The sequence below is a fragment of the Homo sapiens genome, chromosome 5 (genome assembly GCF_000001405.40).
Source record: "Homo sapiens chromosome 5, GRCh38.p14 Primary Assembly".
Lineage (NCBI taxonomy): Eukaryota > Metazoa > Chordata > Mammalia > Primates > Hominidae > Homo > Homo sapiens.
The window spans coordinates 112,911,043-112,935,604 of NC_000005.10; the positions used below are offsets into that span (position 1 = coordinate 112,911,043).

The window sequence follows — 24,562 nt, forward strand, 5'->3', positions numbered from 1 at the left end:
ATACGGTAGAAGGCTTTGGGACAAAATTTTCCTCTGCTGATAAAATATGAGAGGCGCACAAATAAAAGGTCTTCCAGCTTCCTGCTCTTGAAAGCCTTAGCGCTATATGGCAACAATCTTGTTATATATTAAGGAAACAGGCGTGGGCGAGGAAGATTATACTCCAAAGTCGCTGGAAAAGAGCATGGATTTCTGCTGTAGCGCCTTGAAATTTCAACCTCCAGACTTCTTACATGAGGTAATTCAAGGTCATTATTCTTTAGGCCACTGTAAATGGCTGCAGCTCACTGAACTGACATAAAAGGTGTGCATCATCACCAAAAGCTTTCTAAGCTAAGCTTAAGCTCGGTATTGGTCAAAATGTGCTCTTCTTCTTTTGCTGAGGTTTCATCTATCAATCAATATTTCAAAATACTTACAGCTAATGCTTACTTGGAGGGAGACAGGAAAGGGACAACCTTCCATACTATTTTTCAAATTATTTCAGACACAATAAATCCATCTGGAAAAACATCCACTTTTACAAGTTCTTAATTCAGATCTATTTTGTTCTTACCATGCAAAATAGATCAAATGCTTTTTTATATGTGAACTGTACAACCTTTTTATATTTCTGTTTTGAGTTCTTGCTTTTAGGACCAAGTTCACATTTCTTATGCATAAGATTTAATATTAAAAAATTGTTAGTCCAACTTATACTCAATGCTTAGGAACATATACACCATTGTACCAGTACAGAAGAAAACCACTAGCCATATCACATATTTTTAACTTGGAAGAACAAAACTTTACTGTGTTTTATTCTTTGAATAATGATGTCTTAAGCTGATTTAAGTACAGGAAAAAAATAATAAGACAAGGAACAAAAAATGAAAGTGAAAAAATAAATGAAAGAAAATACTCTTAGGAAGGTTTTTCCTTAAATCAATGAAAAGCTTAATGACACAAAGTTAAAGAACTATGACTATGATTAAGTCAATTTTCCTCTTTATATGTTAATGAAACTAACTCCCCTTAATTGAGCACTTACAGAATGCCTGATTTGTCCTAAACGTTTGACATATATTATCCCAACTCCCCCCAACCCTATCCCCACCTTTTACATATGAGAAAACTGAATTTTATAAAAGTTAAGCTGTTTGCTCAAGAGGTAATAATCAGCTCCATATACACATGCTTTTGGCTACTCACACCTAAGACACATAGGTACATACTATGTGTTCTGTGCATGGTTCATAAGTAACTCAGTTGCTACAATTCAAACTAGCCAAATGACATAAAATTAAGTAATAGTATGTCTTCACAGCATTGGCTTTATTATTCAAACCAGTTGTACCAATATCAACTATTTACCAGAGACTGACAGTGTGGAAAAAAAAGCAGTTCATTAAAATATATCTATATATCCATTTATACCCATATATATTTTAATTTTATCCATATATATGGATAAAAAGCTTTAAGATGTCCTATTGGTAAAGAACAGAAAGGAATCATCTTCTGGTCCATCTGCTTTATATTTTATTTCTAATGTGGTAACTTATGTTTAATAGCAAATATTCCAGAGGTTAAGATAGGTTCTTTGGAAATTGAATATGAAGAACATGGACCATAATGTTTATAATCCTTTTTGTTATGGCAGACACATAACTTGACCATCCTCCATGCCCACCATGCATGGGATTGCTTTTGGCTGTATTTATCAGAGAGTATGATGTAGGAATTCTTAGTAATTCAAAATGGTTTTCCTATTATCAGTACCTCAAATAAGAAGGAAAAAAGAATCAGACATTTTAAGACATAAACACTAGTTCGTTTCCATGCCAATAAGGAAAATATTTTTCTCCTTCATAGAAAAAAAGAAGGCAGGAAACTATGCGTGATCAGAAAGTTACATATCTTTTTCACTGCAGAGTATATGTGCTTTTAAAGCAAGAGAGAAAACCAACAAACAGTACGAGAAAGACTAATGAAAGACTGACCGGGCACAGTGGCTCATGTCTGTAATCCCAACACTTTGGGAGGCCAAGGCAGATGGATCACCTAAGGTCATGAGTTCAAGACCAGCCTGGCCAACATGGTGAAACCCCATCTCTATTAAAAACACAAAAAATTGGTGGCAGATGCCTGTAATCCCAGCTACTTGGGAGGCTGAGGCAGGAGAATCGCTTGAACCCGGGAGGTGGAGGCTGCAGTGAGCTGATTGCGCCACTGCACTCCAGCCTGGGCAACAAGAGGGAAACTCCATCAAGAAAGAAAGACAGAAAGAAAGAAAGACAGACAGACAGAAAGGAAAAGAAAGAAAAGAAAGAAAGAAAGGAAAGAAAGAAGAAAGAAAGAGAAAGAAAGAGAAAGAAAGAAAAAAAGAAAAGAAAAGAAAAAAGATTACAGAGGCAGTGGAGTGAGAATAGCTAGAGCCTGGGAGGTCAAGGCTGCAGTGAGTCATGATTGCACCACTGCACTGCAGCCTGGGTGACAGAGTATGACCCTGGCTAAAAAAAAAAAAAAAAAAAAAAAAAAATTAAGATGAGTCTATAGAATACCTATAATGAAGTATAAAGAAAAAAATGCAGTCATTCAGTGGTCAAATCTTTTGGTGTTTAATTACAGTGATCTCATTTACCACTATCCACCATTTTGTTTTTAAATGCAAAATGGAAGAGTCAGTCACAGTCAAATATAACAATGCGGAATGTGGACAGACATCCCTACACTTAAGACTGAATTGGTCCCAACACACCTGTGACCTATGTCAATTAACTTCAGTTTGTGGCCTTGATTTCCACATCTGTTACAGGTGGCTATCACCCTAGCAGCTTAGTCTCTAAGACCCCTTTTAGCTAACATTTTATAACTCAAAACTGAATGTGTGTGTGTTTGTGTGTGTGTGTGTGTGCACCCAGGAGTTTGAGACCAGCCTGGGCAACATGGCAAAACCCCATCTCTACAAAAAATACAAAAAATTAGTACACACCTGTAGTCCCAGCTACTCCAGAAGCTGAAGTGGGAGAATCACCTGAGCTTGAGAAAGTCAAGGCTGCAGTGAGCTGTGTTCATGCCATTGCACTCAGCCTGGGTGACAGAGTGAGACCCTGTCTCAAAAAAAACACACTCAAAAAAACCAGGCTGGAGTGCAGTGGCGCAATCTCGGCTCATTGCAACCTGTGCCTCCTGGGTTCAAGCAATTCTCCTTCCTCAGCCTCCCAAGTGTGTGTGTGTTTTTTTGAGACAGGGTCTCACTCTGTCACTCAGGCTGAGTGCAGTGGCATCAACACAGCTCACCACAGCCTTGACTTTCTCAAGCTCAGGTGATTCTCCCACTTCAGCTTCTGGAGTAGCTGGGACTACAGGCGTGTACTAATTTTTTGTATTTTTTGTAGAGATGGGGTTTTGCCATGTTGTCCAGGCTGGTCTCAAACTCAAGCAATCCACCCATCTCAGCCTCCCTGCCTGTCCCCCCAAAAAAACTGTTTGAATGATTGATGGTAAAAAAGATTAATGCCAGGAGCAATAAAAGAGCAGATGCAAATCCCACTGGGACAACCCTTTGTCAATAAAACCAGTGGTTCTATAAGTATCTGTGTCAGATTGGTATCATAAAGTTTAACTTAATCTCAAGTAACCTCACAACTTAGAAGGGGAACAACCTAAGCTGCCTTTTCCTAGGTAAAGGAGGGCCACCTTAGATGCGGACCGCAGTCTAGACAAGTGAGCGATCCCTTAACTAGATCACTTGGTCTATCAGAGGCTGCAGGATATATATAGTAGACACATGACTCAGAGTGACTGATAAGCTCCACTCCCTGGAATCAGGAAAGTGTGCAAGTGACAGAATGAAGTCAGGGTACGTTTCTACAGCCCCCACTTATATTTCAGCTGCTACAAAAAGTAATTTCATTCACAATTTTGAAATTGTTTTAAAACTTCTGCCATATTAATTCATACTTCCCCAAAATTAATTGTTAATGTTATGAATCACCACTAAATACCTTAACATGTTATATTTGTATTTATACTTGTTTTAAATGCCATGTGAAAAAATTAAGTTGAAAACTGAGTCCTCATTCAAAGTCAGTCCTGAAAAAGAGAAGTCCAGGTCAGAAGGAGATGAGGGAGGCTACGACAGAAAGAAGGACAAATAGACTAAATCTCCAGGGCCTTCATAAAGAGAAAAAAAAAAGCTCATAAGGAACATTCCAGAATAGAGTATTAGAAATGAGATCCTCCTCCACAACTGCTTTAGAGCCCAGAAACTCTGATCATGAATAAATAATTTAAATCATTCATCTTATTTGCTTTTTAAAACTTTATTTTCTTTATGACACAGGCAAGCGGGCGAACCTTAACTGAAACGCTGGCTGTCATTATTTTACAAAATAGTCACAAGTTGTTATAAGGATATTTTTATTACTTTTTCATTTCTCCACAACACTTTCATCTTAAAAGAGTCCAGCACTCTTAGCAGTAATGTTAAGTGAAACAAGGACAGTAAAAAAGTTGAGGAAGGTTAAATGTTTAAATGCTTAAGATTTCAGATTTAAATTAAGTAAATTAAAGATTTAAATGTTTAAGTAAATTGCTTAAGTCACAGTTTGCAGAATGCCTGTTATATTTTTTATCCAAGTGCACATCGGCCAGAAGGCCACATTGGCTTGTGCTTCATACTACCCCAGAAGGCAAAGCGCAGGCATGCATTGCTCTGCTCTTCAACACTTTAACAAAGCACATATAGATCCAGAGAGAAAAGCTAGTGTAATGGGAACATAGGCAGCTCAGTAGAAAATACATCTGCTCTGAAGTTCTCATGAGTAAAAAAGAACAAAACATAATTACAATTTAAAAAAAAAAAAAAAAACCCACAAGAAAACAAATACACCCCCTACTAATGAGTCCAAGAAGAGAACTACAAATACACATCCTCCAGTACTGTTAAGGAAACAGCTCTGCTTCCAGTGACTAGCTGCAAAACAGAAAGTGTCTGTTCACAACTGTCATTCACACCACGGTGACTTTCTCAAAGTCTCCTCTGGGTAATAAACCTCTTTAGGAGTCTGTCAATGCACACCTTAAGCAAGTAGACTGCAACTCTTTTTAACTTGTGTTCCCCAGAATGTGTCCTCCCTTTGTGTGCTGAGCATCATTTAGCTAAGAGGATGCTGTTGCTTTTACTTGTGGTTAACTGTGTTACAACTCTTGTAGATATTTTCATTGTTTTTTTTCTTCAAATTAACCTTCTTGCCATCCCTTTCTGATCTGACCTCGATAGGGGTCATCCCCAAACATCTTCCCTTGAGATACTTGTCTCTTGAAACAGAACTAAAGGCAACGCTGCATCCCCTTAGGAAATCCAGTTCAGTGTGCCATTTTCAGGTGGCCTTGTGCTAGTAAAACAGAGCAAGCCTCTGCTGTCATAAGTCAAAGCTACATAACAGATAAGAAAAGTTGTTAGTAACATATTCTAACTAATGTCTACAAAACACAGTCAATGCCTATGTGTGCAGATATATGATTTGGGATGACAGTACCTTATTTGAGAGGAAAAATACACTGCACAAAGGTAATGTATTGACAGGGTCAACTGTTTTTTTGAAAGGCCTACATTTTTTAATTTTCATCTCTACATAAGGTGATGTTGTGTTTGTGGGACATTCAAAGAGCCACAAGGGAGGTAGCATAACGTAATCATTAAAAGCATGAAATTTGGAGCCAGATTCTTTGGATTTAAATACCAGTTTCATCATCTGCTAGTTGTGAGACCTTGATCAAGTTATTCAAATTCTCTTTCTGTGTTTCCTCATCTGTAAAAATGGGAATAATCATAGCACTTACATAATAGGGTTGTTCTGAGGATTAAATGAGCTATATTTGCAAAGCACTTAGACAGAGATATGTACATATCTGTTAAATAAAATGCTACACAGATTTCAGGAGTCATACAAAGAGCTAAATGCAATATAACTCTTTACACCAGCAGCAAAAGTTTAAAATGGGCTTGTGAGGACACACAGAAACTAAAATGACACATTACTGAACTGGGTATGAGATTTCAAAAGTGTTGTTAAAGATTAAATATATAGTGCTGGACTCTCGTCTTGAACTCCTGGCCTCAAGCAATCCCTCTGCCTCAGCACCCCAAAGTGCTGAGATTACAGATGTGGGCCATCATGCCCCGCCCCCTAAACATATTTAATCTTTCTAACATTGGCACTAAAATATGCCTAAATGTGCTTTACATTCCTGTGTAGTTCCAGACCAAGCCTGGCCTCTGTGTGACCTTGGGAAACACACTCCACCTTTCTCTGTCCCTGAATTGTCATTTTAAAACTAAAGGAACTGGACTACCTGTTTGATCTTTAAGGCCCAACTCTGATAGTCCCAGGAAGGTGGCAGCCCAAGTCTTAAGGAAAATATGAAATAAAAAGAGGAAAAGTAATAGACATTTTTATAGAATTTTAAGCAAAAAAGTTACTGGGTAGGACAGAAAGCAAACCTTCCCCTTTCCTTAAATAGAAGATAAAGTCTGAGTTTGCCTCACAATTCCATTTGTACAAAGGAGCAAGTACAGGACTAGGGCCCTGGCTCACTAGCGCCCACCCTGGAGGGACTGCACCAGGAGGACTTACTCACATATGAGGGTGCAGCACAGCATACACCCTCCAGAGGACTCTTATTTGTGCAATCCCATTAGAAGCAGGGCTGCACCAGACATTAAAGGCCATATATTGTATGATTCCGTCTACATGAAATGCTCAGAATAGGCAAACTCATAGAAACAGAATGCAGATTAGTGGTTTCCAGGGGCTGGGTAGGAGGAATAGGGAGTGATTGGTGATGGTTTCCCTTTGGGGTGATAAAAATGTTTTGGAATTAGACAGTGGTGATGGTTACACAACTCTGAACATACTAGCCACTGAACTGCATACTTTAAAAGTGTACAATTTATAAGTATCTAAATTATATCTTAGCAATGGGGGGAGGTCTATCTTTATAATAAACATTTCCAGTAGTCTGCCTCCTGTTATCAGTAAAAGAGGGAAGTAAGGAGATTAAGGTAATTATGTCAACAGTTCTTGATGAAAGGAAGGCTGGAATTAGATTCCGAATTGCCTATATAAGATGGCCAAAAATTCTAGAAACTAGAAGTCAGAGATGAAAGACCCTGTTCTCAAAGAGCTCAAAGGGAAATTATGCACACGGAAAGAACAACCAGTAGGAAGAGGGGTATACAATAAGGTACTGGTTGCTCCCCAGTGAGCACTGGGCAAGTCTTCAACCATCTACATGCTCCAACGTGCAGCAGACCCTGACCAGGAGCCAGGTGCACCTGAGCTTCACTCACAGACTTCCAAAGGGAGTCCAAAGGGAGAAAAGCTAGGAAGCCAAGTGAGCTTTTCCCAATTTCATCTTTGCATCCTGCAGTCTCTTGACCCAATACTGACACTACTCCCCTTCTTGTGATGGCCCAAGGAGAGGAAACAGCAAGAGAAAGGCTGAAAGGTGAGAAAGGAAGGAAGTAAATTACTGGCAATAGTTTGGCAAGATCGCGAACTCCTTACAGAGGTCACAGCAGCCAAAGTGACCTTAAAATATAAATCGTATCATGTCACCCCCTATTTAAAACCCATCCAAGGCAATCAGAAAATGCAAACTCCCTACCACCATCTGGAATGAAATGCACACTTCTACCACTGACCCTACCTGCTGGCACCTGCACCTCTCTGGTGCCTCCCCCACCACTCTTTGCTCACACAGAGCTAAGCTGTGTGCTGCCTCAGGGCCTGACACACTCTTCTCCCTCTCCCTGGCTCTGCTCTTGGCTGGCCCCTTCTCATTCCTCAGGTCTTCTCTACCAGAACTGTTTATTTACTTTAGAGGGCTTACCACACGGTCACTACTTTGCCTATTTCTTGCCTGGGTAGACTGCTCATTCAACAAGGACAGAGAGTATGACTACCTTATTTCTTGCCATATCTAAAGTGCTACCACAGTGCCACACATGTGACTGGCATTTGATTTTTGCTAAATAGATGAACCTGTATTTTAAAAAATAACTCTGGCTAGGGAGCATAAGAGTTACAAGAGGTATGGAGAATAGTTAAAATGAAGGTGACTGCTATGGTCTGAATGTTGTGTTCCCCCAACATCCATATGTTGGGACCTAATACCCAATGTATTAGTATTAAATAGTGGTGCCTTTAGGAGGCAATTAAGACATGAGGGCTTGGCCAGGTGTGGTAGCTCACGCCTGTAATCCCAGTACTTTGGGAGGCTGAGACAGGTGGATCACCTGAGGTCAGGAGTTCAAGATCAGCCTGGCTAACATGGCAAAACCGCATCTCTACTAAAAATACTAAAATTACTCAGGCGTGGTGGCACACGCCTGTAATCCCAGCTACTAGGGAGGCTGAGGCAGGAGAATTGCTTGAATTTGGCGGGGGTGGGGGCGGCCAGGGATGGCGGTTGCAGTGAACTGAGATTACGACACTGCACTCCAGCCTGGGCAATATAGAGCGAGACTCTGTCTCAAAAGAAAAGAAACAGGCATGAGAGCTCTGCCCTCATGCATGGGATTCGTGTCCTTATAAAAGAGGCTTGAGGGAGCCAGTTGACCCTTCTACCATGTGAGGAAGCAGTGAGAAGATGCCATCTTTGAAGCAGGGAGCAAGCCCTCACCGGACACCAAATCTGCTGGTGCCTTGGTCCTGGATTTCCCAGCCTCCAGAACTGTGAGCAATAAATTTCTATTGTTTATAAATTATCCAGTCTAAGGTATTTTGTTATAGCAGCCCAAGCAGACTAAGACAGTGTTCACAGGTCACACTTTAAGCAACATGGATTTTGATGCTACTAAAGACCACCATTTTCAAATACTTTTTCTTTCTTTTGGACAATTATACAATCATATTGGTTATGCAATGAACAGACTTGATTAGACTAATGTAACACCGACCGCCTGAATATTTGCTCACGGGGGTCTGTATGCTTTATTCTGTGCACACAATCCCGTTTTTCCTTGAGTCTCCTCCATAAAGCAGAGCCCGGGGTAGGCCTCAGGGCTATATGTAGCTAGACTTTCTGGAGTATGACTAAGTGTCTGTACCGGACTAACACAGTAACAACTACTAGGTAACTGCAATTTAATTGCTCAAATCAGAACTAACTTCTAAAACATGTTTCTTCCCTTATAGTCATAGACTAAATTCTAGCCTAACTAGTGACAGATACAAGCTGTAATAATGTGTTATCTGTGTCTTAGCCTCCTAGGTGAAAATTTTTTCTTCCTTTATTTTTATCCCTATGGTTGAAGAAAGTAGCAGAGACCAACTGAATGAAGGTAAAAACCACTGGCTTTCTTAGGAAGAACTGTAGAGCAAAACAAAATTCATTTCTGGAGAGGAATAATTCCTACTTGAACGAATGGAAAAATAAAATCGTAGAATTAAAAAAAATAAACACATTGTAGAATAAAAACAACTTTGGTAATAAATTCAGATCCTAATCGTAAAAATTCATTTTTTAAGTAGCTCAATTATATAAATGACTCACTTATATAACCAAGGAGCTATATCATGGAGCATTTTTAAAGGTTTTTGTTTTTACACTAGGGTAAGCATTTCCCAAGTTTGTCTGTAACATGTGGCTTTTTCAAAATAAAAGAAAATGAGAAAATTCTCCCTACTGTCTCAATTAACGTAATTATGAATTAAGGAAGACCTAATTGATAGGGTTTTACTCTCTAGGTGCATAAATATATGGTGAAATACTCATTAAAATAATTACTAGACAGAAGTGCTCAGCTCCCTGTACCTTCTGAGATCCTCCCACCAGTAAAGGGAGGACGACAGAGTGGTAGCGCTTTCCTGTTAGTGTGCCAAAGAGAGGGGACACTGGTCACCAGGATAATCTAATGAAAATACCTCTGGGCTAATCGTCAAGAGATAGGGATTAAGTTAAGGTTCCAAAATGGTGAATACTATCCCCACCCCTTATGTCCAACCTCATCCCTCCCCGCCGAGCTTTCACTTTTCTCCCGGGAATTGCGGATGTGCAGTCTACTGCAGCAGCCCTGCGGGGAGGAATGGAGGAAGGGAAGGGGACGGCTGCAGGGTGTGTCACTTACGAGATGTAGGCTGGGTAGCCAAATCCTATCAGGTTGCAGAGGAGAGAGGCTCCATAACCGAACACCAGGTACAAGGCCACCAGTCCGATGACACCTGGGGACCACAAGGAGAGAAGTGGGTCGGGCAGCATGAGAGCCGTTCACGCGGGACAGCCGCCGCCCACACCGCGAGGCTGGGCCTGTTGTAGGAGTTTTCCTCTCGACTCGATTAAAGGAGCGAGAAAAACAAACCACACGAAAGCTGGGCCTGCGCGTCCGCTGGGCTATGCCTTGAAGTCTGGGGATACCAGGCAGCCCCACCATTGTGCCTCTCCTACCTCCCGCAGGGGGCCCCGGCGCTTTGCGCAGCAACCCCCGGCGCCCGGGACGGTCCCAGGCACCCGCTTCCGCCCTCTCGCAGGGCCTGCTGGGCAGCGCTCCAGCCTGGGAAGCTGCGCTCAGCGGGGAGCGTCCCGAGAGGCCCGGACTCCCGCACACGCTGCAGTAGCAGCCCCCGCCCACCCGAGAGGCGCCCTCTCCGGGCGGAGCTCCACGGAGGGTCGGGTAGGACCGGGTACCTCCGTCAACGCGCCCGCCCGCAGGGGCCCCGCCGTCCGCGCCCACCGCGCAGGACAGCAGGAATAGGGCGCCGGGCCGCGGGGCAGACATACGTCAGCGCTGGCCCTTCCAGCTGCCAGCGCCCGGCGCCGCAGCTGCCCTCCAGCCCCGCGACCCTCAGCCTGGGCAGCCCCCGCGGGGTCCTCCGATGCCCACGCTTTCCGGGAGGCCAGCCTGATCCCTGAATATGCTGCTTGTCCCGTCTGTCTCCGACTCCACCTTTCCCGAGTCCTCTCCCTGCTTCCTTCCCCAGCAGCTGGGGCAGCGGCGGCTCCCGTGGCCCTACCAGCGGCGGCGACCCCCGGCCACCCACCAAGAGCGATGAAGCTCCTGTTCACGCCGGTTTTGGCCTCGAGCTTGGCCAGAAGGTCAGTCATGCAGTTCTTCTCGTGCAGGAACCGGTCGAACCTCTCCCTCATGGCCGCAGACATGGCGGGGACCGTCTCGCCGCTCGGGGCTGTTCCTAGTGCCGGATAGACTGGAGCGGCGACTGCGGCGGAGCAGCGGCAGGCGGGGACCGCGGCGCGTCTACGCGTCCTCCACTCGCCTCCGCTCGCCCCGCCCGGCCGCCGCGCGCCCCTCCTCGGCCGCCGCGCGCCCCTCCTCCCCCGCCCAGCGCCAGGGGGACAGCGCCACACCCTGGCGGGGGCGGGCCTGCAACTCCGCGGACGCTGCGAGGTGGCCTGCCTGTTGACAGTCTTAACCCATTGCGGGGTAAAAAGGATGTGGCGTGGGGGCGTGCATTTTGTGTCTCTCGTGGGTCCCCTTCTCAAATCGGACTATTGCAAAAAGCAGGCAGAAAGGAGGCAGGCGTCCTTGTTGCTCCCGCCTGCAATTCACTGCGATGAGTTTGGCACCTACATTGCTGTGCTAAACCTAAGGCATTTTTGACCTAAAAAATTGAAATGTTTGAGCATCGTGAAAGAACTCTTTGGAAGCAGTCCTGCTTTCTCCCTCTTTGCCTTAACTTGGCAGTTTTTCTCACCTACAGACAATCGTTGCCTTGTAAAGACCCTTGAAGAAATCTAACACATCCTCCCTGGGGTACACCTTTTCCAAGCAAAAACTGCATTAAATCTTTTCATGGTGGGCTTGCGTTGTCTTGGTGTCTGATACTGTGGCAAGTGTCCAAATTCTCTCTGTGGAGCCAATATACTCTGCACTTCCTACAGTCAAAATACTCTGAAGAAGACGGAGATTCTAAGGTCCAAGCCTTAGGGCAGGAGCTCATTTTTGCTTCCTTCAGAATGAGTTGGCCATGCTCTTCCTCCACCTAAACCTAGGCTCCTCTTATCTCACCCATATGACTTCCAGACACTCCTAAAATTACTCTTGTTGACTCCTATTCTGCACACTGCTGCAGAATTTTTGTCCGAAGCTCCGTATTATTATCCTAACAGACTAGAGCTCCCATTCCTTGGCAGAGCATTCAATGCCCTGCCCACAACTGGCCCCGAACATTCTGTCTTGGTCCTACACAACCCCTCTGTGCTTTCAAATCTACTTAATTACCCTACTGCCTTCCACTTCTGCAAAAAGTTATCTTGCCCACGCCTAGCTTTTTCCTTTTATGCTAATTCTCCTTCCTCCTTTCTTCCTCAGAGCTTCTTAGCTCAGCTTTCTCAGCTGTTCCTACCACCACCCAGCCAAATCAGTGAACAAGTGAAACAACCTGCTGTCTACTTCTGTCTTTTCACCTACAGTTAATTCTCAATGTGGCAGACAGTAGAATCTGTTTTAAAATGTGCGTCAAGTTGTGCTATGTTTTTGTTCTCAACCCTCCAGCAACTTCCTATCTGCCTGAAGGAGGGCATCAGGGTCACAGGTGACATGGTTCATCCCTCCCCTTTCTGATGTCTTCCCTTACTGCCTCCCTCCTTGCTGTGCCTCAGACAAGGTAAGCCCATTCCTGCCTCTGGGCGTTCGTTCACTTTTCTTCTATTTCAGTGGTTCTCAACCAGGAGCACTTCCTCTCCCCTTCTTCCTCCTGGGGGGAGGAGTAGCAATGTCTAGAGATACTTTCGTTGTGAAACAGATTGTCACACAAGGAGAGCAGGAGGTGGCAAGTGCAACTAGCATCTAGTGGTTAGAGACTAGGGGTGCTGCTAAACATCCTGTAACACACAGGACAGCCCCCACAACAAAGAATTATCCAGCCCCAAATGTCAATAATGTGACAGTCCAGAAACCCTCCTCTATCTGAAAGTATCTTTCCCCAGTTAACCATTTAACTGTCCCCTTCCATTATTCAGATATTTGTTCAAATGGTACCCCTAATCTCAAATTGCAACCCCCAGTGGTCTCTAGCTTGATTTTTCTCCATAGAATTTATTACTGTCTGGCATTATGTTCTACTTTTTTTTTTTTTTTTTTGAGACTGTCTCACTCTGTCACGCAGGCTGGAGTACAGAGGCGTGGTCACAGCTCACCGCAGCCTCGACCTCCTGCTGTGCTCAAGCCATCCTCCCACCTCAGCCTCCCAAGTAGCTGGGACCATAGCCGTGTGCCACCATGTCCGGCTAATTTTTTCTGTTTTTAGTATAGATGGGGTTTCACTATGTTACCCAGGCCAGTCTTGAACTCTGTGATCTGCCCACCTTGGCCTCCCAAAGTTCTGGGATTACAGGTATGAGCCACCACCATGCCAGACCATGTTCTATTTTTAAATTATCTTTCTTTCCTCACTAGATTATGAGCTCCGTGAGGGTAGACATTTTTGCTTATTTTATTTGCTTCAATATTTTAAGCACATTGAACAGTGCCTGGCACTTAGTAGTTGTTCAATAACTATTTGTTGAATTAATGAATGAATGAATATCTAACATGTGTTGTACCACCCAGTATTCCAAGTGTTACGTGGACTAGTTCATTTAATCCTCACAGCTGCATGAGGAAGATGCTACCTGTTTCATCCTCATTTAAGGAAAAAAAAAATGAGACATAGTGAGTTCCCATATCACAATAAGTGGCAGAGCTAGAATTCAGAATCAGGCTCTTACCCCTATATTACATTGCTATTATGGGTTGAATTGTATTCTACCTCCCTAAAGAAGACATGTTGGAATCCTAACCTACAGTACCTCAGAGTGTGATCTTATTTGGTAATAGGGTCTTCAAAGAGGTAGTCAAATTCAAATGAACTCCTTAGGGTGGACCTCAATCCAGTGTGACTGTTGTCCTTATAAAATGGGAAATTTGGCCAGGCGCGGTGGCTCACACCTGTAATCCTAGCACTTTGGAGGCCGAGGCAGGTGGATTACGAGGTCAGGAGATCGAGACTATCCTTGCTAACACGGTGAAACCCCATTTCTACTAAAAATACAAAAAATTAGCCGGGCGTGGTGGCGTGCACCTGTTGTCCCAGATACTCAAGAGGCTGAGGCAGGAGAATGGTGTGAACCCAGAAGGCAGAGCTTGCAGTGAGCCGAGATCAAGCCAATGCACTCCGGCCTGGGCAACAGAGCGAGACTCTGTCTCAAAAAAAAAAGGGGGGGTGAAATTTGGACGGAGACAGATGCATATAAAGGGAAGACTGTGAAGAAACACAGGGAGAAGATGGCCATCTACAAGCCAAGAAGAAAGTCCTGGAACAGATCATTCCCTCACAACCCTCACAAGGAACCAATCCTGCTGAGACCTTGATCTTGGACTTCCAGCCTCCAGAGCTGTGAGATAATAAATTTCTGTTTTATTTATTTATTTAGAGACAGGGTCTCACTGGGTCACCCAGGCTGGACTGCAGTGACACAATCTCCACTCACTGCAACCTCCACCTCCCAGGTTCAGGCAATTCTTCCACCTCAGCCTCCCAAGTAGCTGGGGCTACAGGTGTGTGCCACCATGCCAAGCTAATTTTTTTTTTTTTTGTAGAGATGGGGTTTCACCACACTGGCCAAACTGGTCTCAAACTCCTGACCTCAAGTGATCTCCCCATCTTGGCCTCCCAAAGTGCTGGGACTGCAGGCATGAGCCACTGCACCTGGCCTCAATTTCTATTATTTAAGCTACCCAGTTTGTGAGACTGTTACAGCAGCCCTAGGAAACTAGTACAGCTGCTTAGCAGAATAACTGAACTGTAAACTTCAAACCAGTTGTGAGTTTGTATAATTTCCTACTGAGTACAGTATGTATATTAAGTTGGGGTTGTTTTTGAATACTTAAAGTGATTCATAATTTGATTTTTTTTTTTTTTTTGAGATGGAGTCTGCCTCTGTCACCCAGACTGGAGTCCAGTGGCATGATCTTGGCTCACCGCAACCTCAGCCTCCCAGGTTCAAATGATTCTCGTGCATCAGCCTCCTGAGTAACTGGGACTACAGGTGCACACCACCACGCCTGGCTAATTTTTGTATTTTTTTGTAGAGATGGGGTTTCACCATGTTGGCCAGGCTGGTCTTGAACTCCTGACCTCAAGTGATCTGCCTGCCTCAGCCTCCCAAAGTGCTGGGATTACAGGTGGCCACAGTGCCGGTCCTGATTTTTTTTTTTTTTTTTTTTTTTTTTTAGACAAGGTTTGACTGTATCACCCAGGCTGAAGTGCAGTGCACAATGTTGGCTCACTGACCTCCACCTCCTGGGCTTACGCCATCCTCCCACCTCAGCCTTCCAAGTAGCTGGGACTACAGGTGTGCACCACCACACCCAGCTAATTCTTGTACTTTTTTGTAGAGATGGAGTTTTGCCATGTTGCCCAGGCTGGCCTCAAACTTGTGAGCTCAAGTGATCCGCCCATCTCAGCCTCCCAAAGTGCTAGGATTACAGGCATGAGCCGCTACACCCAGCCTCACAATTTGATTGTTTTATTTATTATTTATTTATTTTAGCAAAGGAGCAAAATCCTTTTAAGTTAGGTATCCAAATCAACCTAGGTTTTTGTCACTACATTTCATGCAGTGGCAACATTTGTACTACATTAACTATGCATGGAATATCTAGAAACATATTGTTCATTTGCATTTCTTCCTTTCTTCCTTTTTTTTTAATTTTTTTATTTTTCAAGACAGGATCTTACTCTGTTGTCCTGGCTGGAGTGCAGCGGCACCATCATGGCTCACTGGAGCCCTGACCTCTTGGGCTCAAGCAATCCTCCCACCTTGACCCCACAAAGTGCTGGGATTATAGATGTGAGCCACTGTGCCCAGCCCTTGGCTTTCTTTCTGTAAATATTGCTCTTTTCAATTTTCTCTTGACATAGATTCCAAATTTCTTCTTTCTTCAAGCATTCAACCAATGGTGAGGCAAAGCAGTATAGTGAGGCATAGTGTGGAGTTCTATCTCTGGATTCAGTCTGTATGAGCTAAATCCCAGCTCTACCATTTAGCTATGTGACTTTGGGCAAGTTGCATAAGCTCTCTGTGCTTCTGGTCTCTCATCTGTAAAACAAGGATAAAAATAGTACCTATTTCACAGAGTTCTCATCATGGTTAGGTGAGTTACTATTTGTAATGTTTTTAGAAGAGTACTTGATGCAAAATAAGTGTTTAAATAATTTAAGAAAGAAAAAAAACACAGCTAGGTGTAATTTTTTTTTTTTTTTTTTTTTTTTTTTTGAGACAAGGTCTGGCTCTGTCACCGAGACGGGAGTGCAGTGGTGTAATCTCAGCTCACTGCAACCTTTGCCTCCTAGGCTCAAGCCATCCTCTCACCTCAGCCTCCCAAGTAGCTGGGACTACACGCACATGCCTCCAAGCCTGGCTAATTTTTGTATTTTTTGTAGAGATGGCATTTCACCATGTTGCTCAGGCTGATCTTGAACTCCTGAGCTCAAGCAATCCTCCCACCTCAGGCTGCCAAGGTGCTGGGATTACAGGAGTGAGCCATCATGCCCAGCCTCTAAAATTGAGATAGAGAAATATTACATTATTCTTGACTTTAGTAAATTACAATCAGATTCGGGGAGTATGGGATCCTAGTTTATCCCATCAGCACTGTAAACCTTAGATTCTTTCATAGCAGAGGAAAGAGATGCAGAAAATAAGAACCCAGAACCCTGCCTAAGGTCTCAAACTATTCACTTACTCATATTTACTAAATATATCCTGTGTGCCAGATGCTGTTAGATCTGGGAACTAGATAGATGAGATCTGTTTTGGAGGCTGTGAAGAAGGTTGGCCTGGAACCGGTTGACACTGGCAATTTTTTTTTTTTTTGTCCCCCAGGCTGGAGTGCAGTGGCGCAATCTTGGCTCACTGAAAGCTCTGCCACCTGGGATCATGCCATTCTCCTGCCTCAGCCTACTGAGTAGCTGGGACTACAGGCACCCGCCACCACACCCGGCTAATTTTTTTTTTTTTTGTATTTTTAGTAGAGATGGGGTTTTGCCGTGTTAGACGGGATGGTCTCGATCTCCTAACCTTGTGATCCGCCCGCCTCAGCCTGCCAAAGTGCTGGGATTACAGGCATGAGCTACTGCACCTGGCCAACTTTGGCAGTTTCTAAGGAGGAAGTTGAACTGACTTGGGATGAGGCAAATACTATTATTATACCCTCTGTGAGCTAGAGAAGAAAATTCTGCTGGAGAACTCAGATCAGGTCACTTTTGTTCTACACAAACTGTTTCTTCAGGGTAAGAAAACAAGTTGAAGTCATCAAACACATTTGTTCTTACTCATGTTAGGAAGAAGAGGTACAGCATAATTTGTCAGGTAATCTCTTCCTTCCTTTCCCCCACCCCTGCATTTGTAGGGTACCCTGGTATGGCACCAATGAGACAGGCAGGAGACCCTCAGCCCCTGCAGACACAGCCCTGTTGGCACATACACCCTCCCTCTGCTGCAGGAGGCTTATGATGACATGTCATCAGAATAAAAAGGGAAAAAGACAGAGTAAACAAAACCTGAGACACGGACTTGCCAGACGATGGGAGGAAAATGTAGAGTCTGAATGTAATTTAAGAAAGAGCATTGAAGGAAATAAAATGTGAAAATCACCATGTTTCATTGAATATATTTGAATTACATTTTCTTTACCTCATTTGTCCTATTCTTAAACATTTTCTACTGAAAATATGGACAAAGCATTTTAATGTATTTCTCCCCTTATCAAACAGGAAGTTGATTTTTAAAAATTAGTGCTCACAGTTGAGAATAAACCAACATGGAAATATCCTTTAGTTTAGCAAAAGTATTTTTATGTGAAATTACTAATATGTCATTGCTATTGCACACAAATCTAGAGATTTCTCACCAGGTTTAAAAATGTCCTTTATGCCAGGTGCGGTGGCTCACGCCTGTAATCCCAGCACTTCAGGAGGCCGAGGCAAGCAGATCACGAGGTCAGGAGATGGAGACCATCCTGGCTAACATGTAGAAACCCCGTCTCTACTAAAAATACCAAAAAATTATCTGGGCCTCGGGGCGGGCACCTGTAGTACCAGATACTCGGGAGGCTGAGGCAGGAGAATGGTGTGAACCCAGGAGGCGGAGCTTGCAGTGAGCCGAGATTGCGCCACTGCACTCCAGCCTGGGCGACAGAGCAAGACTCCATCTTACCAAAAAAAAAAAAAAAAAAAAAGTGTCCTTTATTTCTCCTTGACGTTTCTCTAATAGTATCTGCACAGTGGACTAATAGGAGAAAACAAGTCACTAATAGGTTGTTTCTCTATGCTCAAGACCAGTTAGTCCAGTTCCAGATAAAGCCTGGGGTTTGGATTCCATACCAGGATAATACGGCGTTCACTCACCCTGGGGTATGGGTCCAACTATAGAGAACAATCCACATTTGCCTCCTAGCCTACAGGGTGGCAAGAAGTTTTGCTTTTCTTTTCATGTGAGAGAAGGACCAGAAGGAGTCAGACAATTTTGCCCACTTCCTTTCGTGATGAGACATCAGGTAAATATAGTTAACATAAATAAAGAAACTGACCAGGCCAGGTGCTGTGGCTCATGCCTGTAATCCCAGTACTTTGGGAAGCCAAGGCAGGAGGATCTCTTAAGCCCAGGAGTTTGTGATCTCCTCTCTATAAGAAAAATTTTAGAATTAGCCAGGCAAGTTGGCATGCTCCTGCAGTTTCAGCTACTGAGGAGACTAAGGCAGGAAAATGGCTTGAGCCAGCGAGGTCCAGAGTGCAGTGAGCTATGATCACACCAGAGTGAGACCCTGTCTCAGAAAAAATAAATAAAAATAAAAAAGAAAAGAAAAAGAAACTAAGCAGTTGTATTAAGTTTATATTGCTACTGTAACAAATTATCCCAAACTTGATGGCTTAAAACAACACAAATTTTTTATGTTGCAGTGCTCTGTGTCAATCTTACTGGGTTAAAATCAAGGTGCTGTCAGCAGGGCTTTGTTCCTTTTTGGAGGCTTAAAGAAAGATTCATGTTTTTTAGCTAATTGGGTTGTGGCAGAATTCAGTTTCTTGTGGTTATAGGACTCAAGTCCCCATTTCCTTCCTCATCTTCAAAGCCACTGCCAGCAGCAGTCAAATCCCTCTCATACTTCAAATCTCTGTTCCTTTTCTTTCATCTCATCTCTCTCACTCATCTGCCTTCTGCTTCTACTTTTAAGAACTCATATGATTAGATTGGGCCCACCCAGGTACCAGGATAATCTCCCAGATCTTTTTTTTTTTTTTTTTTTTTGAGACGAAATCTTACTCTGTCACCCAGGCTGGAGTGGAGTGGCGCGATCTCAGCTCACTGCAACCTCTGCCTCCTGGGTTCAAGCAATTCTCCTGCCTCAGCCTCCTGAGTAGCTGGGATTACAGGCGTGCGCCACCATGCCCGGCTGTATTTTTTTTTTTTGTATTTTTAGTAGAAACAGGGTTTCACCATGTTGGTCAGGCTGGTCTCGAACTCCTGACTTCGTGATCTACCCACCTCAGCCTCCCAAAGTGCTGGGATTACAGGTGTGAGCCACCACACCCAGTCAATCTCCCTGATTAGTCTACATAACTTTAATCCCATCTGTAAAGTCCCTTTTGCCATGCAAAGTAACATCTTCACAGGCTTGGATATTAGGGCATGGATATCTTTGGGTGGAGATGGAAGTCATTATTCTGCCTACTACACTAGCCTTACATGGGGGACCCATAACCAGCATCAAGTTCCCTGGAAAGAATGAACATATTGAGATCAGACAACTGGTGTAAGTCCTTTCACTCACATCAAGCGCCATCCCAGGACATGGCACAGGGTCAAAGCACAGGCCCTGGAGCAGATACCCTGGATCCCTTACTTACTAGCTGTGCACTTGTGGGAAAGTTCTCAACCTGCAAAAGCCCCACTGTTCTCAGCCTGTAAAACAAAGATAATGCTAGTATCTACCTCATATAATTGTTGGAATAAATGAGATACTCCACGTAAAGCACTTCACAGAGTGCCTATCTGAAGGGCACATACATCAATGAAGTAGACACTAACAAGAGTTTATGCCCAAAATTATACTATCTTCTCTTATTCTTTTGATTCAAGGATTTGGTATCTGTGAAAATCAAAATACTCTGGCAAAAATAAGAGCACATTGTCATCAACAATTTGACTATGGGAAAGAAGGAGGAAAAGAAAATGTATACTGAGCACCTATTTTGTGTTAGACAATTTGTATGAAGATGCTGACAGCATATTTTGTTGGAGTCAGGGGTCACTAAGTACCTGAGGATTAAAGGAGTAGTGTTTTCCAAGGTACAAAGTAGTGAAACAGAATTGCTTATTTTTCAGTTTTGTCTAGGATCCTTGGATTAACCCTTGGCCAAGTGAAAGGGACCCTCCAGGCCTACACAGATGTGAGCAAGGAATTGACCTACAAACAAATGTCAGGTCAAAGTCAAGCTGTTCTCTGACATGCAGCAAGCTGATTTATGCAGCTCTTTATCACTTAGCAGTCTCTTAATGCTTCCTGTCTCTCCTCAGTCTCTGACTTTCAGCCTATTTTGGATGAGTTTTGGCCCATGTTCCTCTAGCTCTTGGACATCAATCATGCTGTGACCACACTGGTTGACTCAAGGACGTGCGTCTTCCTTTCATTACATAGATAACTTTTGCTTTATGATGAGCTCTGTCATGCAGTTAGGAGAGAATTGATTGATGACATAGCCTTTTGCATTTTACCCAGTCTAGTCTCCCTAAAGTCCATGCTGATGGAGATTTATAACTAGTTAGTGTTGGGGGATTTGGAATAAGGTTTGGGAGGACAGGCTTGTTTTTGTTTTTTTCACACCATTGTTCCCAGCACATCTTTATCTGTTCACAGCCATAACAAAAACACCCTACTAAAAGTGAGAATTCATTAGTCTAAAAAAATTACAATATATACTCTTTCCAAACAGCACCAACTATTATATGCATCATCTTAACCACCTTTATAGAGTTTACTGAAAGTCATTGCTTCTCCGCCTTTTGGCTAAGATCAAGGGTAGAATTTACTGAAAGTCACAAGTGAGACTCTAATTTTATACTTTTGATGGTTTTTTGTTTTTTTTTTTAAGATGGAATCTCGCTCTGTTGCCCAGGCTGGAGTGCAATGGCGTGATCTCAGTTCACTGCAACCTCCAGTCTCCTGGGTTCAAGCGATTCTTCTACCTCAGCCTCCTGAGTAGCTGGGATTACACGCACATGCCACTACGCCCACCTAAATTTTGTAATTTTAGTAGAGATGAGGTTTCACCTTCTTCCTAGACTGGTCTCGAACTCCTGACCTCAGGTGATCCACTTGCCTCAGCCTCCCAAAGTGCTGGGATTGGAGATGTGAGCCACTGTGCCTGGCCTGATAGTCATTCTTATGCAAATAGTTTGGACTTGAAACATCAATAGTGATAACTGTAACTTCTAATTTTGTACAATAGTAACTGAGTTAGTGTTTAATACAATATACCCAGTCTATATCACATGTGTATTTGGTATGTTTATAACCCAACACACTGGCATATGAAATGGATTAAAGGGAGAGTCTCCATTTCTGGATTCTTTGGAAATGTGATTACTTACAACCTGTCTTTAACATGTAGGAAAACCGTTTTACTTCGATTATTTCACATCAAGTTCGCAACTTGCAAAATTAAGTGGAGGATAGGCAGTTTTCTTAATAAACTAATACAGAAAACAACATTGGCTTAATTTCAGAGTAATCTTTTTAAATACATTATTTTTATAGTTAACTGGAACCACTTTTCCAATTTGTATTTATTCAGAGGAAAAATTTTTAAAAGTCACCTTGGACTGAAGACCAGCATCAGTTTATATGGTGTGAGTTCTTTCCATTTGCCTTAGATTGCACCTACACTGACAGAAGAAAGTAAAAAGGTAAGCAATTATCTTAGGATTGTACTAGTAAAAATTATATCAATTATATCTACTTGGTGTAGACAGCCCAGCCTGTCTTTCAGCATAGGAAAATTGGTCATGGGTAGATTTTTCAGGGTGACTTAGTTTGAGACCAAGAAATAGTCATTGCTGTTTTTGTCAAGTATAAAATAGATTCCAGAATGCATTCCTTCATCCTCGAAGGCCCTTCTCATTAGCATTGGACCTAATTATCTAGATATAATTTGTTAAAGGTTTTACACTTCTTTAAAGAAGGCTACTGAGTCACCAGCATTTAATATTCATTCATTCATTCATTCATTCATTCATTTAACAACTATTCACTGAGCACCTACTATCTGCTAGGCACTGAAGATACACCAGGAACCAATATAGATTAGGTCCAAGCTCTATGGATCTCACAGATTATAACCACAGCAACATTTGCTATGTGTCATTAAGAGTTTGAAACTTTAATATCTTAACCTAATATTTATATTTTTCTTATCACTAAAGAAAAAACTATTATCAATAAATTTGATAACTGATAAACTCAATGTGATTATGTTTTTATCATATATCCTTTGTTCTCTCTTTACCTGTGACTTTGCTAGCAGTAAATTCTTTTTAACTTCATTAGCTTTTCTTTTCCCTTTCCCACAGATCCAGCAGTTGAGGGAGCACTGGCTTCATGGTTGAGTCATCATTTTGCTAAATTATGTAATAAATTCATAAATACTAACAGTGGAAAAACTAAACAGTGGAGGGAAAATCCACTGTTTATCTTCATCTCCCAGTCTCCCAGTATTTCACCAGTGGTATCAATTATGAAATGTCAGACTCATAGGGAATGGGAGACAGAGCTGGTCAATGATCTGACCAAGCATCTGATGATGATAATGTTTTTATTATATAAGGAGACACTTAAAACTGTATAAATAGACATTTTATTGTTTTCCTCTAAATGTGTTTAACTCTAAAAATGTTTTAGTGCAAAATGTGTTAGCAGTTAGCAATTGTTTGTTATACTAGTGATCCAACATCTGTTAACAATGAGGTTCTGGCATACCATCTGTATTAGTCCATTCTCATGCTGCTATAAAGAACTGCCTGAGACTGGGTAATTTACAAAGAAAGGAGGTTTAATTGACTCACAGTTCTGTGGGGCTGGGGACACCTAGAAAATTTACAAGTATGGTAGAAGGGGAAGCAAACACATCCTTCTTCACATGCTGGCAAGAGAGAGAATGAGAACCAAGTGAAGCGGGGAGTCCCTTATAAAACCATCAAATCTTGTGAAAACTTACTCATTATCATGAGAATAGCATGAGGGTAATCACCCCCATGATTCAATTATCTCCCACTGGGTCCCACCCATGACACTTGGGGATTATGGAAACTACAATTCAAGATGAGATTTGGGTGGGGACACAGCCAAACCATATCACCATCCCACATGAGTAATTCTGAAGAAAAGGAAGCCAGAGTAGCAGGGTAGCAGTCACCCCAAAATAACCCTGAGACTACAGCTTTGGGCAGAGCAACCCCTAGGCAAAAGCTATGAAGTGAGCAGAGCTGTTTATCCATTAACTCATCTGTTCTATACCCATCTATACTGGCTGTGATATTCCAACATTATGCACAAGGATAAACAAGATTTACTTCCTGCCCAAAGAAATTTACACATTTTAGCTTCCTTCCTAAAGTCAGCTTCCTGAATTTTCTACACTTACACACCCATAAGGCCAGTATCCTACTGTTCTTTGGCCTCTTGATTTCCTCCTCTTATCAAAAACTCTTCTTAATTAGCTACAAGTTGGGAGTAAACCAATAGTTAATTCATACTAAGGTGTAAAAGACTATATGGCTGAACACATTGTATTCTACTATCTTTCTCAGACGTGTTTGCATTTTTAGAGAAAGGAAGCCTTAAATTTGAAGCTGTGAAACTAATGGTGGAACTCCAGGTATTAGTAAAGCAATAGCAGAGACTTTTTTTTTTTGAGACGGAGTCTCACTCTGTCATCCAGGCGGGAGTGCAGTGGCATGATCTTGGCTCACTGCAACCTCTGCCTCCTGGGTTCAAGTGATTCTCCTGCCTCAGCCTCCTAAGTAGCTGGGATTACAGGCACACGCCACCACATTGGGCTAATTTTTTGTATTTTTAGTAGAGATAGCATTTCACTATGTTACCCAGGCTGGTCTCGAACTCCTGACCTCGTGATCTGCCCACCTTGGCCTCCCAGAGTGCTGGGATTACGGGCGTAAGCGACTGCACCTGGCCAACAGCAGAGACTTTTTCCCCGAGTGTATATAGTTTCCCAAGATCCACCATTCACAGATAAGGCCAGGCTTGATTTTGAGTCTTGAATGCTCAGTTGACTTTTAGATATGAACCCTAGATAGGAAACCAGGCTGACTACCTTTTTTTTTTTTTTTTTCGGTCCTAGCATAATTATACCAAAATCCTTTAGGCATAAGGGCACATTTCCTTTTTAGTCTCCAACTAAAGAAAAGTTTTCATGGCTTTTTAAAGTTTATTATCCACTTATTTGTCCAACAAATGCTTGTTGAGTGCCTGTAAAATGCCGGTCATAGTGTTAAGCAA

The 24,562-nt window shown here is 42.7% G+C and overlaps 1 protein-coding gene and 1 long non-coding RNA gene across 3 annotated transcripts in view, besides 3 other annotated features; one reads left to right on the forward strand and one right to left on the reverse strand.

The window, feature by feature from the left end:
- Positions 1–11,185, reverse strand: part of REEP5 (receptor accessory protein 5) — a 45,843-nt gene extending 34,658 nt beyond the window's left edge. The window contains exons 1-2 of the mRNA NM_005669.5: positions 11,031–11,185; positions 10,121–10,214 (exon numbers count right to left, since the gene is read on the reverse strand). Coding sequence (NP_005660.4) covers positions 10,121–10,214; positions 11,031–11,148 — 212 coding nt within the window. The 5' untranslated portion in view covers positions 11,149–11,185. The remainder of the gene's footprint in view (positions 1–10,120; positions 10,215–11,030) is intronic.
- Positions 10,376–10,825: a silencer, noted in NCBI's record as "silent region_16239". NCBI's record gives its function as "represses an Ori minimal core promoter by ATAC-STARR-seq in GM12878 lymphoblastoid cells {active_cell/tissue: GM12878}" and the evidence as "EXISTENCE:reporter gene assay evidence [ECO:0000049][PMID:35858748]".
- Positions 11,186–11,455: a silencer, noted in NCBI's record as "silent region_16240". NCBI's record gives its function as "represses an Ori minimal core promoter by ATAC-STARR-seq in GM12878 lymphoblastoid cells {active_cell/tissue: GM12878}" and the evidence as "EXISTENCE:reporter gene assay evidence [ECO:0000049][PMID:35858748]".
- LOC105379123 (uncharacterized) lies at positions 11,345–24,040 on the forward strand. Of its 2 annotated transcripts, none has more exons than XR_948675.3 (3): positions 11,345–12,614; positions 21,843–21,954; positions 22,618–24,040. It is a non-coding gene; the product is annotated as an uncharacterized LOC105379123 (long non-coding RNA). The 2 variants fall into 2 exon arrangements; XR_948676.2 differs by lacking the exon at positions 11,345–12,614 and adding an exon at positions 14,153–14,384 and having other exon boundaries at positions 22,618–23,219.
- Positions 12,588–12,707: an enhancer, noted in NCBI's record as "active region_22913". NCBI's record gives its function as "activates an Ori minimal core promoter by ATAC-STARR-seq in GM12878 lymphoblastoid cells {active_cell/tissue: GM12878}" and the evidence as "EXISTENCE:reporter gene assay evidence [ECO:0000049][PMID:35858748]".
- Positions 24,041–24,562: the final 522 nt, after the last annotated feature.